This window comes from Homo sapiens, chromosome 14 (genome assembly GCF_000001405.40).
Source record: "Homo sapiens chromosome 14, GRCh38.p14 Primary Assembly".
NCBI classification, from domain to species: Eukaryota; Metazoa; Chordata; class Mammalia; order Primates; family Hominidae; genus Homo; species Homo sapiens.
In genome coordinates, this window is record NC_000014.9 from 94,665,735 (window position 1) to 94,683,105 (window position 17,371).

General features: G+C 44.8%; 1 pseudogene, besides 3 other annotated features; it reads right to left on the reverse strand.

The window, feature by feature from the left end:
* Positions 7,710-8,225: an enhancer, noted in NCBI's record as "H3K4me1 hESC enhancer chr14:95139781-95140296 (GRCh37/hg19 assembly coordinates)". NCBI's record gives its function as "activates a minimal SCP1, AML or CMV promoter by ChIP-STARR-seq in naive and primed H9 embryonic stem cells {active_cell/tissue: H9 hESC(naive and primed)}" and the evidence as "EXISTENCE:reporter gene assay evidence [ECO:0000049][PMID:30033119]".
* Positions 8,226-8,739: an enhancer, noted in NCBI's record as "H3K4me1 hESC enhancer chr14:95140297-95140810 (GRCh37/hg19 assembly coordinates)". NCBI's record gives its function as "activates a minimal SCP1, AML or CMV promoter by ChIP-STARR-seq in naive and primed H9 embryonic stem cells {active_cell/tissue: H9 hESC(naive and primed)}" and the evidence as "EXISTENCE:reporter gene assay evidence [ECO:0000049][PMID:30033119]".
* LOC100288028 (coiled-coil domain containing 59 pseudogene) lies at positions 9,543-10,093 on the reverse strand (annotated as a pseudogene).
* Positions 15,759-16,307: an enhancer, noted in NCBI's record as "H3K27ac-H3K4me1 hESC enhancer chr14:95147830-95148378 (GRCh37/hg19 assembly coordinates)". NCBI's record gives its function as "activates a minimal SCP1, AML or CMV promoter by ChIP-STARR-seq in naive H9 embryonic stem cells {active_cell/tissue: H9 hESC(naive)}" and the evidence as "EXISTENCE:reporter gene assay evidence [ECO:0000049][PMID:30033119]".

A 17,371-nucleotide genomic window follows, 5' to 3' on the forward strand; every position in this document is an offset into this window, starting at 1 on the left:
TAAATTTTGCTGTATTTGAATAATACTGATTTTAAATGTTATATTTATTATATATTAATATAATTTGCATTTTTCATTTAATAAAAGATTATTTAAAATATTTTTGGAAAATCATAATTTGAAAGTATTTTTAATTTTAACTTTCCGTATTTTTATATTTTTCATTTACATTTTCATGCAAATATATTCACATTTTTTATACTTTGATTTCAATTATTTTATTTTTTTAATCTTTTAGCTCATTACTGTCACTAGAAAATAATATGTGGTAATATTGATTATGGCAATATAATTAGTGATTTTGCTAAAATGAAGGAGTAAAATACTGTCTGAAATAAATACATTCTAATTTAAGAATTTTGTGTTTATATGTTACATTCTTCATCCAAACTTTGACAGTCCATCATCACAAGAGCCAGACATGAACTATAACACTTAGATTCAGTTTTTCTTAAATATTTTGCCAACTTTTAGTCATATGAAAGTCATAGCTTTATAGATTATTTGTTCTGTCATTGTACAAGTATATTTGAGAAGGTAGGATAAAACACATGTTAATTAGTGGTTCCTTAGTTTTATATACGACTTTTTTTGTTTTGTTTTTTAAATTTTTAAAAAATATAAATAGAGATGGGGTCTTGCTATGTTGACCAGGCTGGTCTTGACCTCCTGGCTTCAAGCAATTCTCCCATCTCAGCCTCTCAAAGTGCTGGGATTACAGGTGTGAGCCACCATGCCTGGCCAGTATACAACTCTTAAATGCTTACACATATGGTTTGTGACTTCTATTTATACTTTTATCATAGGGCCTCTATTCTTAGTCTCATAGGTCCCAAAATGTTAGGACAGACCTACACGCAAAGAACTTTGGACACACACAAACCCACATGCATGTATCTCATTTATATAAAATATAAATGTAAAAACAAATAAGGGCCTGGTAAGGCAGCTCATGCCTGTAATCTAAATACTTTGGGAAGCTGAGATGGGAGGATTGCTTGAGGCCAGGAGTTTGAGATCAGCCTGGGAAACACGGCAAGACCTTGTCTCTATGAAAAAATTTGTTTTTAAAAATAGCCATGTGTGGTACATGCTTGTAGTCCCAGCTACTCCACAGGCTAAGGCAGGAGGATCATTTGAGTCCAGGAATTCAAGCCTGCAGTAAGCTATGATCATGTCACTTCCCTCCAGCTTGGGTAATAGAGTAATACCCTGTCTCAAAAAAAGAAAGAAAAAAAAAAAGAAAAAGAAAAAGAAAAACAAGTAAGTATTGGCAAGCCAAAAAAAACCCAAATTCGTTTATAGCAATGTTCTCCAGAACCAAATAGAGAAATTTGAAAGGTAAGTGGTTTAATGGTAGAGAAATTATTAATATAATAAAATCCGTTTTTTAAAAAATGATCCTGACAAATGACACGAGAGCACATGATAAAATTTAATATTCATTCTCAATTTAAATTTCTAAATTTTTTTTAAATTGTGAAAAGTAGAACATCAAACTTAATGTTACATTCCATGGTGACATATTTCAGATATTGTGCTTAAATTTGGAAAAGAAAAGAATGCCAGGGGATATTTTCATTTGTCAACATTGTCCTTGAATTCCCATCTGAGGCGCTTCTGCATAAAGTAGAAATAAGACATATAATTGCGGGAGGAAGAGACAAATTCATGTTATTTGCAGCTGGTATATGTCAAGAAAACCCAAGACAGCCATCTGAAAAGCTATTAAAAATAATCAAGTTTCAATAATATGGCCAGATACATAATAAATATGCCAAAGTCAATAGTTTTTTAATATACTAGTAATAACAGATGAGAAGACATAAGAGAAAAAGAGGTTCCTTCCTTAATAACAATAAAAAATAAAATACCTAGGAATAGCTCTAAAAAGATAATGGAAGAATCCATATGAAGAGAAACATAAAGGTTTAGTGTGGGCTATAAAAGATTTGAGACAATGGAGAGAACATGATCCCGGATAGGACGACTCAATAAGGAAAAGACATCAATTCATCCCAAATTAAATGAAGATCTAATGCGATAGCAACCAAACCAACAGAAGTTTTTTATAACTTGACATAAGTGATTATAAAGTTACTCTTTTAAAAAGTTAAAATAGCCAACAATTTTTCAAAAAGGGTAAAATATAGTCATTTAAGCTTCCATTAAGCTGTAAAACATTATAAATCAATATCAATTAAAAGAGTGTAGTACTTGAGTGATTCAAGAAAAAGCAAAAGTCTATTTCTCCGCAGCTCTTTAATGAGCTTGCCCTTGTCTTCCTCCCTATCTCAAGTTCTGCTATCTCCTCAATAATCCTCAGCACCAGTTCAACAAAATCACAATCTACACATGTCCCCAAGAGACCGCTTGATTTTTTAAATTGGTTTCTGAGTATAAAATTTTATATATTTGGATGGCCAGGCGCGGTGAGGCCATGGCGGGCAGATCACTTGAAGTCAGGAGTTTGAGACCATCCTGACTAACATGGCAAAACCCCATCTTTATTAAAAACACAAAATTATCCAGGCATGGTGGTGGGAGCCTGTCATTCCAGCTACTTGGGAGGTTGAGGCAAGAGAATCACTTGAACCCGGGAGGCGGAGGTTGCAGTGAGCCAAGATCTTGCCGCTACACTCCAGCCTAGGTGATAGAGCAAGATTCCATTTCAAAAAAATGAAAATTAAAATAAAATGTATATATTTGGAAAATTCAAAAATTAGAGTGGTGAAATAGTCATCACTAATATCACTACCTGGAAACAAAACCTGTTATGTTTTTGTAGATGTGTTTCAGGTTTGCTTCCAAGTAAAAAATAAAACACAAATTACATAGCTATTAGCGATAATTAGGATTATGGTGTTTATACAATTTTGGCTTTTTTTCATGAAATAATTATTTTACAGTATTCAAAATGGTCTATCATATGGATATCATATAATATCAAGCAATAGTGTGCTGACAAATGTTTGACAACAGGCTTTTCGGGTGGTGGGCTGGGGAGCCCTATTTGTAGCATTTGCCAGATTCTTTGGTGTAAATGCTCCCATCACGGTCAATTTCAAGATAGTGATGTAACATCACTGAACCTATATACCATTGAAAAGAAACACCCACCATCAACTCTCATGAGACCATGCTAGCCAACTCCAGCACACCACTGATTTTAAGCAACTTTGTTTTGGTGGACATTGAGTTGGGTGAGATATTTTACCATCATAAATAAGTATTGTGGATATTCTCTTATTCCACAAATTAATAGTTCTTATTATTTCAATAACACAGATTCCCAAAAAATAGAATTCCAGATCCAAGAAGACTATCACTTTGAAGCTGTTTATGAATACTGCTAAATTGCCTTCCCAAAATGTATAGATTTACTCCACTATCAATAATATACCTGCCTCACTCTATTCTCCTCAGAAATATGATCATTTCCAAAACAATGTTGACCAATTTCATAGGCCAAAAATGAAAGTTTTACTTGCTCTTTAATTATTTGTGAAATTTAAAATTTTTCACTTTGTTAGCCTTTGTATTTTGTCAGTAAATTCTTTCATCATAGCCTTTGCTTATTTTCCCATTCAATTACTAATTTTTATTGATTTGTAGGGGTTCTTTATATGTTAAATACCTAGTCCTTTGACCTAGTTTGCCAAAAAAGTTTACATTTTTTCTAACTTTTTGATTTTATTTTTTCTTCTTTTTCTTTTACAGCATCACTAGACTTCTGATAAATTTTATTTACACCATATTTTGATGCAGAGAAATTTTAACTTTATAGTAGTCAAATCTATTAATATTTTACATTGTCATTTATTTCATTGTTTTTTAGGCTAAAATGTCCTCAATTTAATCTCTGATAAATGTGGCATGTTAAAGTAGAAAAAAATCCATTTTTTCAATCAATATTATTGGGATGATATAACTATGCAGAGAAAATTAATTTTGACTTCCTCATTATGCAAATATATTTCAGAAGAAGTAACAATTTTAATGCAAAAAAATGAAATTTTAAAAATGCTGAAGAAAACATAGGACAAATTTGTATATATTTGTGTGTGTGTATGTGTGTTTCTTGCCATGATCCTAAATCCAAAACCTATAAAAGAGAATATAATAATTTGAACTACATAAAATTGCAATATTTGACATGACAAAAGTAGCATGAAGTTACAAGTAACAAACTTTAAGAACACAATTCTAGGAGATGATATAGCTATAGCAATACTTATAGAGATATTGATATAGACAGAATCTTCCCCAAATTATTAAGAAATTATTGAGAAACAGAAAAAAACACAAAATCAGAAAAGAACATGAACAGTTCACAGAAAAGCAAATACAGGTGTCGTTTAAGTGCAGAGGATCACAATAAGTGAAATCCACGAATTGATACTAGATTCATCTAAGAGAGTGATAAAGATCTGATGAGCTAGACTGGCAGTATGTTATGTGGTAAAGGGTATGGGAAAACAGGCATCTGCAGAAACTTTGGGTGGGTATGTAAATGGATATGACCTTGGGGCCAATTTTTACAATATTTGTCAAAATTTAAAGTTTTTTCTTTCATTGACTGTTACACTTGTAGGAATTTGTTTAATAAACCAATAGGATGGTCACATGTGGTGTCTCATGCCTGTAATCCCAGCACTTTGGGAGGCCCAGGTGGATGGATCACCTAAGATCAGGAGTTCGAGACCAGTCCCAGCTACTCGGGAGGCTGAGACAGGAGAATCTCTTGAAGCTGGGAGGCAGAGGTTGCAGTGAGCCAAGATCGCACCATTGCACCCAGCCTGGGCAACAAGAGCAAAATTCCATCTCAAAAAAAAAAAAAAATTAAAGGGAAAGTAACACAGAACGTTTTAAAGTCCACAGTTTTAAAGAAAGAGCCTGTCTCAAACAGGGAGGAGGTGCTCATCACCGAGAATCTACACCTGGGACATCAGATAGGAGACACGTGGGAGAAGATGGAATTCTGCGGCCACTGAGGCTGGTGACACAAGAAAGCTGAAAATCTATGGGGCTTGGAATAGCATACATTTCTTTACTTTTTGGTCTTTGATGAGCTCCTACTGCAAAACAGGAATTTCCTAGGAGCTGGGGATACCGCAGTGAGCAAAGCAGCCAAACACCTCTCTCTGCCTCTAGGGTGTTTGCCTCCTAGTGGGGCGTGACAAGCAGCAAAGAGAACCATGAAGGGGAAGGACAAGACAGTGCATCAGATGGAGATGACTGTCATGAAGAAACCATAGCAGGGGCGCGGGGGAGGGACAGGGAATGAGGGGAGAGGGATGGTGGAGGTGGTTGGAGAAGGTGACATTTCTCCAAGACCTAGAGGGTGCTCTGTAGATACCCGGGGAAAATGTGGCCAGGCAGGGCCAGCACGTGCAGTAGTGCCCCTGCTATGAAGGTCCAGCAGAGGGAGACAGGGGGGACGTGCCTGGCCCCCCTCATGGACATTGCTCTGCGGGGCCTGGAGCTGGACCGGTGTGACCTCCAGCTTCAGGACTCACACTCTCATAAGGACAATCTGATGCCCAAGGAATTTGGGAGCTTTTGGAGGCAAGGCCCTGCCCAGGCACGATTACCTTAAAGAGCCTATTTATTTATTGATTGATATTTTTGAGACAGAGTCTCACTCTGTCCCCCAGGCTGCAGTGCAGTGGCTTGATCTTGGTTCACTGCAACCTTCACTTCCCAGGTTCAAGCGATTCTCGTGCCTCAGCCTCCCAAGTAGCTGGAATTACAGGCGTTCGCCACTACTCGCGGCTGATTTTTGTATTTTTAATAGAGACGGGATTTCACCATGTTGGCCAAGCTGGTCTTGAATTCCTGACCTCAGGTGATCCACCTGCCTCGGCCTCCCAAAAGTGCTGGGATTACAGGAGTGAGCCACCACGCCTGGCCAAAGAGGCTCTTTTAATGCCCAGAGCCCGTCACTGTCAGAAAGATTTGCTTCCTAAAGCCTTAGTTCATCGGATGTGTCAGTTTTGTAAACATTCTGAGCCTCGAGTTTTAGGGAATCTGAATTTAAAAAGCAATGCAAGGGGCTTTTTTGTTTTGTTTTGTTTTGTTTTGTTTTGAAGAAAGGGGAGGGGGAAAGAAGGCAGTTGGTCAGAGCCAGCCCCAGAGAGGCCTGGAGGATGCGTGTATGTGTATGTCCTATGGCTAGATACAAAGCTGTACAATAAGCCCTGTGGCCACCTGGTGGTGGCCACAGTCACACAGGGAACAAAGCCCCAGCCCCAAGCAAAGCCCTCTTCAGTTCAGTCTGTCTTCATACAGAGGCCAGGAGAGGGATCTGGGCTCTTTCCCTGGTGAGAGATGAGTGACAGTGACATCTTTTTCTCATACCCCCAGCTAGGGCTGGGCCACCCCTGCCAACATGACACCCATTTCTTCCGTCTCTCTTTTCTGCTGTCTTCAGGGTGTAATGTGAATTGGGGCGGGACAGTCTGATGTCGGGTGAGCGGCCCCAGCACTCAGCACTGGGCTCTGAGCTCCCGGGGTGGACAGGCAGAAAGAACTGGATCCACCTCCCAGCCCTGCGCCTGAATTGTTGCTGGACTTCAGCACTTAATTCAGATCAAAGGTGCTCAGCACTGACCCCCTCTTGACCCAAGTCTCTTCAGCTGTAAACCTGGGACCTGGTTCCCTGCTTCAGGGGATTCAGGGAGGATCAGTCACACAGAGTCCTCCTCCAAGACAAAGACTGGGTCTTGTTCATCTGCAGCCCCTCAGTGCCTCCAAGTGCCTTTTGGTTAAGCAATGTCCTATTGAATTCCTCTACTGAAATGCATGTTCATTAAAGTTTCTGCAGTTTAGCATAAATTAAATTATTGATATCTTCGTGCCACTGCAAAAGAACAAGGATTTAGCGGAGCCTCAGCTAACAGAGCTCAGATAAGGCACTTCTGGTACCAATGATAATTCCTGCCAAGAGTCCTGTCCTAAATCCAATGGAAACTCCTGGGAAACAGAAGGCATAAAATGGCATTGGCTGGCATGGTGGCTCACTGCTGTAACCCTAGCACTTCGGGAGGCTGAGGCAGGTGGATGGCTTGAGCCCAAGAGTTCGAGATCAGCCTGGGCAACATAAGGAAACCCTGTCTCTACTAAAAATAAAAAAAATTAGCCAGGTGTGGTGACATGCACCTGCAGTGCCAGCTACTCCAGAGGCTGAGACAGAAGGATCACCTAAGCCCAGGAAGTTGAGACTCAGTGAGCCAAGATTGCACCAATGCACTCCAGCCTGGGCGATATGAGTGAAACCCTGTCTCAAAAAAAAAAGGGGGGATGCTAATGAGCCCTGTATGAATGTTCATTAACAGGCATGTGGAGTCAGAGAACCAGAGTCCAAGTCAAGCCATTGTGCGTGAGTAAATTCCTTGACTCTCCTAGCCTCAGTATCCTCATCTGTAAAATGAGGACCAAATGAACTGTCCCCATATGCCCCACACATTGATCGGGAGCATCAAGCGAGATGAGTGAGCTCGCTTTGCTAAGGGCAGGTGTGGTGGGGGTGCTTGCCCTGGTGTACCCAGTGGGTGCACGGGACAAGCCACGTAGCTCCTAACCTCCATGTTCAGGAGGTTAAAACGGGACTGTGTCAAATGTCCACTGAAGCCCCCCAGGGGCCAATAGTAAAACAGTAGGCCCCTAAATCTCCCCATATTCTGAGATGAGATGCTGGACTACTGATGCAGGAGTTGTAAAGATGGTGCAAGAAAACCCATTTGGTGACCCTCAGCCTATTCTATCTAACTGAATAGAAGAGACAAAGAGAGAGGGGACCTCTTGGGGACAACTGTTGGACTACTAAGGTATTCCCTGCCCCTATGAAGGAACTATCCTCCCTCCTTACCCCAAGCCCTGGGAGGGGGCCTTGGTAACCCTGGGAGAGCTGTGTCCCTTGGTGTCCGTGCACACAAAGGCTGGTGGGTGTCAGCCTCATGCCTGGGGAAACCTGAAGGCAAGAGGGCAGCTGCCAGCCTGAAGTGTCAGACAGCAGAAGTGTCCAGGAGGAAGAAGGGCTGGACAGGGCTTGAGCGGTCTTTCCACTGAGAGTGGTCGGAAGCACGAAGCTGTGCCCCCACTAACTTAGCTTCCACCAGAGGAGCTGGCTTGGGGTCTCTTGGAAAGGGACTTTGCACAGAGGCACCTGGAGGGATGGAATGTCCCAGGACCACAGGCTGACAGAGCCCGAAGGCGGAGGGTACAGGCAAGTCCTGGAGGTTTCAGGTGCGGGGATTGCTAAGAAACCTGCAAGAAGGGTGCACGTGAACATCGCCAAGCCCAGACCGACCTCGAGTGCTCTCAGGCAGAGCTTTTCCACACCCTAGAACAGCAGGAAGGATGCCTGGTGAGCAGAGGGGAGGCGCTGGGAGTAAAGACAAGCAGCAGGCCGGCCCACCCCCACCAGAGGAGTGAAAGAAAAGTTTATCTTTGGCTGGAATTCAATGTTTTCATTATGACACTGGACTAAACAAAGGATTTTTTTAAGTTCATTCATATCCTCTTTTATTTATGAGCCATCCCAACAACATTTAGTTTATGTAGGAAATATGTATAGAATCTCATAGTTGGCTGTTGAAAGTTTAAAACAAAAAAAACTCACCTGTTTTGTCTTTTAAAGTAGGCAAAATTTCCTTTAAGTAACAACATAGTGTTAAATCTCAACATTTACTTGTTTTTAACCCCCAGCAGCAATCTGCTTTCATACATACCCTGCACATAATATTTTTTGAAACATATATAGAAAATTTTCTTTTCGGCTAGGCATGGTGGTTCACGCCTGTAATCCCAGCACTTTGGGAGGGCCAAGGCGAGAGAATTGCTTGAGTCCAGGAGTTCGAGACCAGCCTGGGCAATATGGCAAGACTCCATCCCTAAAAAACAAAATAAAAGGAAAAGAAAAACAAATTTTAATTAAAAATGTAAAATATAAAATTTAAAAAAGGAAAGAAAAAGCTTTTTTTTTTACCAGAACAAAAATATTTGCGCACTTTCTATTTAGTAGAGTTAGCAATGCAGTTATGTTGACAAATTTAGCTCTTTGTTGGGAGGCACCTGTTGTGTACACAAAAAAATCCAAGAGACAGCAGATATTTTCACCTGTAAGAACAATGTCTAATTTAACTTTTTTCTTCTATTTTTTGAAGAAGATACTCCATTTGTAAATTCAAATTTGGTTGGCCCTTTTTAGTCTCTTTGCTTCATTTTCTCTCTCTCTCTCTCTTTTTTTTTTTCCTTCACCCAGGCTGGAGTTCGGTGGCACCATCTCGGCTCATTGCGACCTCCGCCTCCCAGGTTCAAGTGATTCTTGTGCCTCAGCCTCCCAAGTAGCTGGAACTACAGGTGTGTGCCACCACACCCAGGTAATTTTTGTATTATAATTGTTTTTTTTTTAGTAGAGATGCGGTTTTGCCATGTTGACAAGGCTGGTGTCGGACTCCCAGCCTCAAGTGATCTGCCCTCCTCGGCCTCTCAACGTACTGTCACTACAGGCGTGGGCCGCTACACTCAGCCTTGGGCTCCATACTTTAAGCATTCCCATCTTTTTCTTTTTGTAGGGCCTTTGAGCTTCTCCCTCCTGCTTCCTCCTCTCACATTCTTATTTCTTAGCACGCTTAGCTTGTACCTGTTCCTCTTCTTCTGTGGTTCTCTGATTTGATGTTTGAACTTTTCTTTGGGATGGTAAAGGAGTTCACTGTTGTTCTGCATTGTTCTGGCTGAGGCTGGTCACAGTGACACCAACCTTCAAGCAAACCTGATCATGCTACACTCTTCTTCAGGCAAAGGCTGGTCAACTTTTCAGAGCTGCTTCCTGAATCTCTCCTCTTCAGTTAAATAGCGATGTTTCAAATGATCTGGGGCATCGACCTGCGAATTGAGATTCCTGTGACATTGGAGACTTCTTTTCCTTCCATGGCAATTTCTTGTAACTTTGCTGAATCTTCCATTTTTTTTCAAAATGCAAAGCCTGTCTCTAGCGAACACTCACCATGAAGACTTGCAGACAGTTAGGCAGCCACGATCTCTGATTCACATTCTTATTCCTGTATCCATCCAGAGAAACCCCTTCACCATACCACCATATACATATACATTAACTATTAGTAGGCAGAGGACTTTTTATTATCCAAGAGTGACTAGAAAAAGCTAAGCCATGGGACCTGGTGGAGACAGAGCTCAGGGATGGGGAAAAAGTAGAGCATCACTGGGGTAATAGAGACAAGGGGAGGGCAAATCCAGATGCTTTAGGATGGAATCCTCGAGTCCCATCTGTGAAAACCTGCAGCCCTGTTCATAGAAGAGCATAAAGGCATGGAGAGAAGTCTTGTAAAATAACCACTAAAATGTCGACGGTGGTTTGTGGGAAGGACTGAGAAAGTGGGGAAGGGATACTGAAAGGTATCTATTGCTTTTTTTAAATTCTAGGTGTTCTTGTATTCGGGGGTACTTTTTTTGAGATGGAGTCTCGCTCTCTCACCCAGGCTGGAGGTGCAGTGGTGCAATCTCGGCTCACTGCAACCTCCACCTCCCAAGATCAAGCAATTCTCCCTGCCTCGGCCTCCTGAGTAGCTGAGATTACAGGTGCCTGCCACCACACCCGGGAAATTTTTGTATTTTTTCGTAAAGACGGGGTTTCACCATGTTGGCCAGGCTGGTCTCGAACTCCTGACCTCAGGTAATCTACCCGCCTCGGCTTCCCAAAGTGCTGGGATTATAGGCATCAGCCACTGTGCCTAGCCTAGGGGGTACTTTTTGAGATGAGGGTGTAGACAGGCATCACTGGAGTAATTACAGGACAAGTAATAACTGCATCTGTATACACACACATACCCCACCTCTTCCCCACCTTTAAGGCCAACCTTTGTCCTCTAGGCCTGTCTCCTGCTTGCAGGCATCACTGGCCTCTGGAGTCCATGAACATCTGCTGCATCAACCCAAATTCAGTCCTGCCTGGCCCACCCCAGTGCCCAGCAGTGAAGGCTAAAGGAGATGGAAGCTAAGGAATGAAAGGGAGACAGATTTCAGGGAGGGGGCGTCCATATACCTTCCTTGTTCTCCTTTGTTTTATATAAACACTGTCATCTGCCATTAAATGTGAAGACTGTGTCGACTGGAGAAACTGCCTGACAGCTTCGTGGAAAGCACTCTGGGTTCATTATGCAAATATCCAAGGCCTCACTTGTAATCACTCATGGAGTGCCAGATTCACTCCTAGTTCCTGCCAACAGCATGGCCCTTCTCTTTGAGACATCAGAAGGAATCAAGAGGAAACCAGATGAGCCTGAACCTCTTACCTACTCCCTGACCCTTCAGGAGGAAAATGTGTTTAGCCAGAAAAGCAGGGTCATCCCTCAATCGAGAGACCATTATTGAGCCAGGAAGCAGCTGCCATTTCCTTTCAGGGTATTTCCTTTTGGTTTGAGCCCCAAGTATTATCCTAGGTGGAAAGAGCTCCTGGAATACTGTTTTCTGTGGAGACTGAAAAGAACATCAGCATCATAAATGTGGGCTCACTTAGAAGCCTCAGATTTCACATCTAGTGAGTGCTTCCATGTCCCCGGCTTTGAGGTGGGAGCACAAGACCTTGTGATGTGGACTTCACCATTCATTCCTCCGCCCACATGCACAGAGCACCTACTGTGCGCCAGCTCCTGGCTATGCATGCTGGACTCAGAGAGGGAAAAGATGTAGCCTGCCCTAGAGGCTCAGTTTGGGGGAAGGACAGACATGAAAATGCATAAGAGCAGGTGGCTTTTGTGGATGCTGGGATGGAGGTCTGTATAGGGATGGTGGGATGCAAACACAGGAGAGGCAGGAGGAGGAAGCAGGCAGAGCTTTGAGGAGGGAAGAAGACCCGAGATTACCAGGAAACAAGGCCAAGAAGGAGCCACGAGAGGGAGCCAGGCCAGTGAAGAGATGTTAGAACTTTCATGGGACAAGAAAGGGACCAACGTGGAAACGGAGGACATTTGTGTGTGGCTCCCTAACTTCCCAGAGCCTTTGCACACACTTCCTGTATTTCAGGTTTCCCCTCTTAGGAACCCCAGCCTTCCAAGGTAGAAACCGGCAGCTCTTTCCCTGCTTCCCCTACAGCTAAGGTACAGCCATGTGACCTTAGGTCCACCAATCAGATTCAGCCGAGGGAGGCTTCATTTTGGAAGCCAGTGGTGTGATGACAGAGGCGGCTCTTGGACTAGCCCTGCAGGCTCCCTCCTACAAGGGTGGCTGCAATCCCAGGGGTAAACCGCCATGTCCACCATCGCCCACACCAGCCTCCCGTCCTGTTTAGCAGCAGAGGCACCAGACCCTCCACTGGCCTGGAATGTGGCCACTGCTCCTACCCAGGAGACTCCAAGCCTGCACCCCTGGCTCTCCTGAAGGGTCTGAGAGCCGCTAACACCCTTTAATAATCTCCTTTTCTCTCTAAACTCACAAGAGTGGGTTTTATTGCTTGTAACCAAGAATTCTGATTGGTATAGTGGGGATATAACAAGAGTTGGAGCTAGAGACGCAGACAGGAGCCAAGTGCCAGCATCCGTATGCAGCCCTAGGAATCTGGACTTGACCCTGGAGCCCAGTGGCTTTCCGTTGGGTGCCGCAGAGACCTGACAATTTCATGGAGCTTCCTGAGGGCTGAAGTGGGGGCTTCTGCACGCCCTTCCTACACCCAGCTGTTCTGTCTTTAACTCTTTCACACACTGCTGAGCTTTCAAATGCAGATTGCATTTCTAAAAAAACAACAATAATACCCCTACCGTTCACTGAGCACTTGTCACTTGTCAGGCACTGTGCCACAGGTTGTATTATCCAAGGTGGCCGCAATAGAATCTTCCATCACACAGGCTCTTGTTACAACGTGACCTTGACAGCCCCTGCATCAAGAGGGCTGTGAATCCGTAGCTACTGTGAAAGTGACGCTATGTGACTTCCAAAGCTAGGTCCTAAAAGTGGATGCAACTTCTGCCTGGTTCTCTTGGGACTCAGTCTTAGAGCCCAGCCACCATGCTGGAAGGAAGACTTGGTCAAGCATGGGTGCTGCAGCTGAGTGAGTCTGGGCCAAGTATGGGTGTTACGGTCTGGACACTCAGCTCAGACCCCAGTACACAGTCAGCATCATCTGTCAGGCAGATAAGCAAGGAAGCTCAGGAATGAGTCTAGCCCCAGCCACCTTCTGACTAAACCCAAGAGACACCAAATGAGAACTGCCCAGATGAGCCCCATCGATCCCCAGAAATGTGAAGGACAATAATAAAATAATTGTCATTGTTTTAAACCACTATGTTTTGGGGTATTTTATAGTTGCAACAATAGATAACTGGAACACACTGTTTAAGCGCCTTAACTAACTGACGCATTTAATATTCACCATGGCCTATGAGGTAGGTGTCATTATTATCCATTATTATTAGTATTAGCCTCACTTTTATAAATGAAGGAGCAGAGACACAGAGAGGGTAACTTTCTCAATTACACACAGGTGACACGCGGTGGAGCTCAGATTAAACACAGACTGTCTGGCCTTAGAGTCAGTCTGTGTTACCACAGGGGTGCGCGGCCTCACTTACCATCTGTGGTAAGCCCAGACGGTCATAAGAGGATCTTAAGGAGGGAAGTGGAGTGGGGTAGCCATGGTCAGATTTGTGTTTTAGGAAGATGTGATGTGGGGGAGGGACTGAGGGCAGGTGTCAGGGCAAGGCTGGAGGCAGAGGCCACCTTGGCCACTGCAACATCTAGGTTAGTCCTCAGCAAGGCCTCACCCCAGGCAGTGGCTGTGGGGACGAAGAATTGAGAAGAGGAAACAGATCTAAGAGACAGCATCACTGGCTAGGTCATGGGAATGGGGAGGGGCAGGCTCAGAGATGATGCATTGTAGATCATCAGCATGTTTACTGCGGTGGCTGGAAGATAAAGATACCAGCTGCCACTTATCTTATTGATTTCAGCAATTGCTAAATGCAATGAGTTATTGCTCCCAAAGACCAGCCTTGGGTACCAGCTAATATCACAGTTATCAGAAAACACGTTCCCAAGGGTGAGCAGAACTAGGATGTGTGTCAGTAGAAACATGCGTGGTTCTGCCACGCGAACAACCCTAAAATCCCAGAGGTTTAAAAGAAAACAGTGCTCATTCGTCTGTCCCCTGAGGCCAGCCAAGGGCTCTGCTCCACATTTTCCCCCATCCGTGGCCTCCTTTTCAACCATTGCTGATTACCATTGCAGAGGGAGAAAGAGCTTTGGAGAGTCTCAGACCAGCCATTAAGTCTTTCCCCGAGAAGTGACCCGGGTTGTACCCACTCACACTGATTGGCCAGATCAGGTCACCTGACCTACACAACTGCCAGGGGGCCAGGAAGTTCAGCCGGGTCCCAGGATGCAAGAGCTAGGTCCAGATGCTCAGCAGGGGATGACAGTGTGGGTGTGTCCTGCCTACAGGGTAGCGTGCTTGTGCGTCCGCACCCTGGCTTCGTTTGGGTTAGCACTATTTATGCATCCTTTGACCCCATGTGAGCCCCTCAGGGCTGAAAGCCTGTCTCCCTCTTCTCCCTAGCAGCGAGCTCTCGCATCGATCTGATTGCCAGTTACACAGACTGAAAAGTCATCAGATGTGCACTTTTTCTATGTACATATTATACTTTAATAAAAAGTTAATTTAAAAATGGGAAAGACCTACTCACTCCAGCAGGGTAGAAATGCTTTTATCCCAGAGTCTCAGCTCTTGGGACTGGTCCATTCATTCCTCAGATCTACTCACTCACAAAATCAAAAAGCTGATCCTCAGCCTGACAGCTATCGATCGGTCCAGGAAGCAGGACCAAGTTAGCCTCAGTCCTCATCCAGTCTCCTTAGGGTCTCTCTGCTTTCTGGCTGAGGCTGGATAAAGGTACCGAGTGGGTTAATTGTGCGGCTACACAGCGGGAACCTCTCAGATGCACAAAGTCCATTAACCTGGCAACCTGGGCGAGGAGACACTGTTTGTCTCCCAGTTTGTGCTCTTGGGACCTGGCAAACATCTGACCTCTCCTGGATGACTTTTCCAGGGTCAGCCTATTATGAACGAATCCTGACTAATTCGGTCACCCTTCCATTTCTTAAGTATGATTTGTGGCTTAATTGCAGCAGGAAAAAAATAATGAGAAGTGCACAGCCCAGGCCATATCCATAATTCATAACTGCAATAAAACCCTCGACATGCTGTCGTGACTTATGGCAGACGTAGTGGTGTGCACCCTGGGGCCAGCGGAGGGCCCAGATGTTTCCGCTGCAGAATTTAGAGCTCACAGGCTGGAGGATCCAGGCTTCCCAACACTCATGGCAAAGCTCAATCCTGGTTGGAGGCAAAAACCAGAGCTTTGGCTTAGGGCCCAGGGACTCAGGAGGGGCCCATGTGTAGGCTGCCCAGGAAAGCAGGGTGTGTTGGAGGCTTGGAGGCTGGAGACACCATTGAGGAAGCAACTGCAAAGTATCTCAAACCTACAGAGCCCCTTGCCATCATCATACAGCAGGGCGGGTCTGCACCAGCCCCAAGAGAGCATAAGGATGATATATCAGTTAAGAGGCGAGGCCATGAATGATAGAAAACCCAGGTCAAATAGCTTAAACTATAAGGGGAATTTATTGGCTCACATAACTGAAAAGTCCAAAGATCCTCAGGCTTCAGGTGAGGCTTGATCCAGGGGCTCAAATGACATCATCAGATAGAAGGCGTCATCCATTCTTCTCTCTGCCTTGCACCTCTGGTGCCACACAGTGGCCACTCACTGGCAGTTCCAGGGTTTCCTCTCAGGAAGTCAAATGGCTGCGTGAGTTCCACATCTTACAGCCTCAGGGCAAGAAAGACTGCCTCCTTCTGCCAAGCACTGAACGAAGTTCCCAACTCTCACTGGCACCCATTGGGTCAGGTGTCCATTGCTAAACCAATTACCAGCAGAGGGGTGTGGAGGAGAGCAGAGCACGCTGATCAACTGGAGCCAAGCAGGCAAGTGAAGCCCATGGACTCCGTATACTTAAAAAGAGGGGAAGGGTAGTTCCCTAGGGGGATACTTGTTTGCCCAAAAGAAGCAGAACCGGAGATGCTAGGAAGGAAAAGGACAGATGCTCGCGACCTAGGCCAGGGGTGGACAAACTGGGTCTGGGGGCCACATCCAGACCCAGAGAGCAACCTGGCTCCCTCAGTCACTGGGACACGGCGGGTCAGGGCGAGCGGCTGCCCCAGGCATCACTAACACTCCCACATGCTGGCAATGCAATCCTTGGGACGCAGGTCTCAGGGAGCAGGCCCGGCCACAGGGGAGGCCAAGGCCCCCCTCTCAGTGTCGCCTCAGCCCCAGCAGGAGCAGTGCTCGAAACCCCTATGAGCCATCTGGATTCTGAGAACATTCAATACCAGTTCACACGCCAAACAAGGAGGCAGCGGCCGAGAAGGCTCTCCCGGTGTTAGGGAAACGCCGGGAATGGGGAGCACTGAGACTTAGGCATTCAAGAAGCTGTTTGAAGAAGGAGACATCTGAGTGCCTCCTACAATGAGGCTAGAGGAACGCTGTCACCAGGAGGAGAGGGGAAGGGAGGACCCCCTGCAGAGGGAGCTAGTTTAAAGGTCAGTGTTGAGGAAGAACAGCTCAGCTCTCACACTGAGACGGCAGCGATCCTCCCGGCTGAAGAGTCACCTGTGTGCCCGGCCCTCCTGGAATAACCTCCTCCCTCTCTCTCACTTAGCTATGTTCATTCTTTTTTAGCCGACCAGAAGTCTCAAATCTTCCCAGTCCCAGTAGTCTGGAAGGCTGCTCTCTGGCATGGTGAGAAGGCTGATTCCCACTTTCCGCAGTTTGCTTTATTGACAATTACATGTGAGCTCACTGTTCTCAGTGTTTGGACCAATGCATTAATAAGGCTGGAGACAAAGGAAGAGGCACCCAAGCCTAAGCCCTGAAGAGTTAAGGAACACATACTTAGCTTTAGAATTGTGTATTTCATTCTAAGTAATTTAGTTCCTGCCTTTTACAGTTGCAATTAAGAGATGGTGAGTGACAAAAGATTTCTTCTCTGTAGGGAGAAAAGCACGTACCCACACGCTCATGCACCCACACAAATTCCATCAGCACCCTTGTGCATGTCCAGGAACACACAGCAATACACAAGAAGAGCCCTCACCTCTGCCTGTACCACATTTACACACACGTGCACACATGTGCACACCCCATGCAAGTGCACGCAGAAATGGGCACACATGAGAGCCCACGCTGATTGACTATACATCATGTGTGGTCATTGCATGCATGGGCATGCTTGCACTAGCACTTGTGTGTGCTGGCATCACATTATGACTTGTAAGAGGCTCTGAGCATGGAAAAGC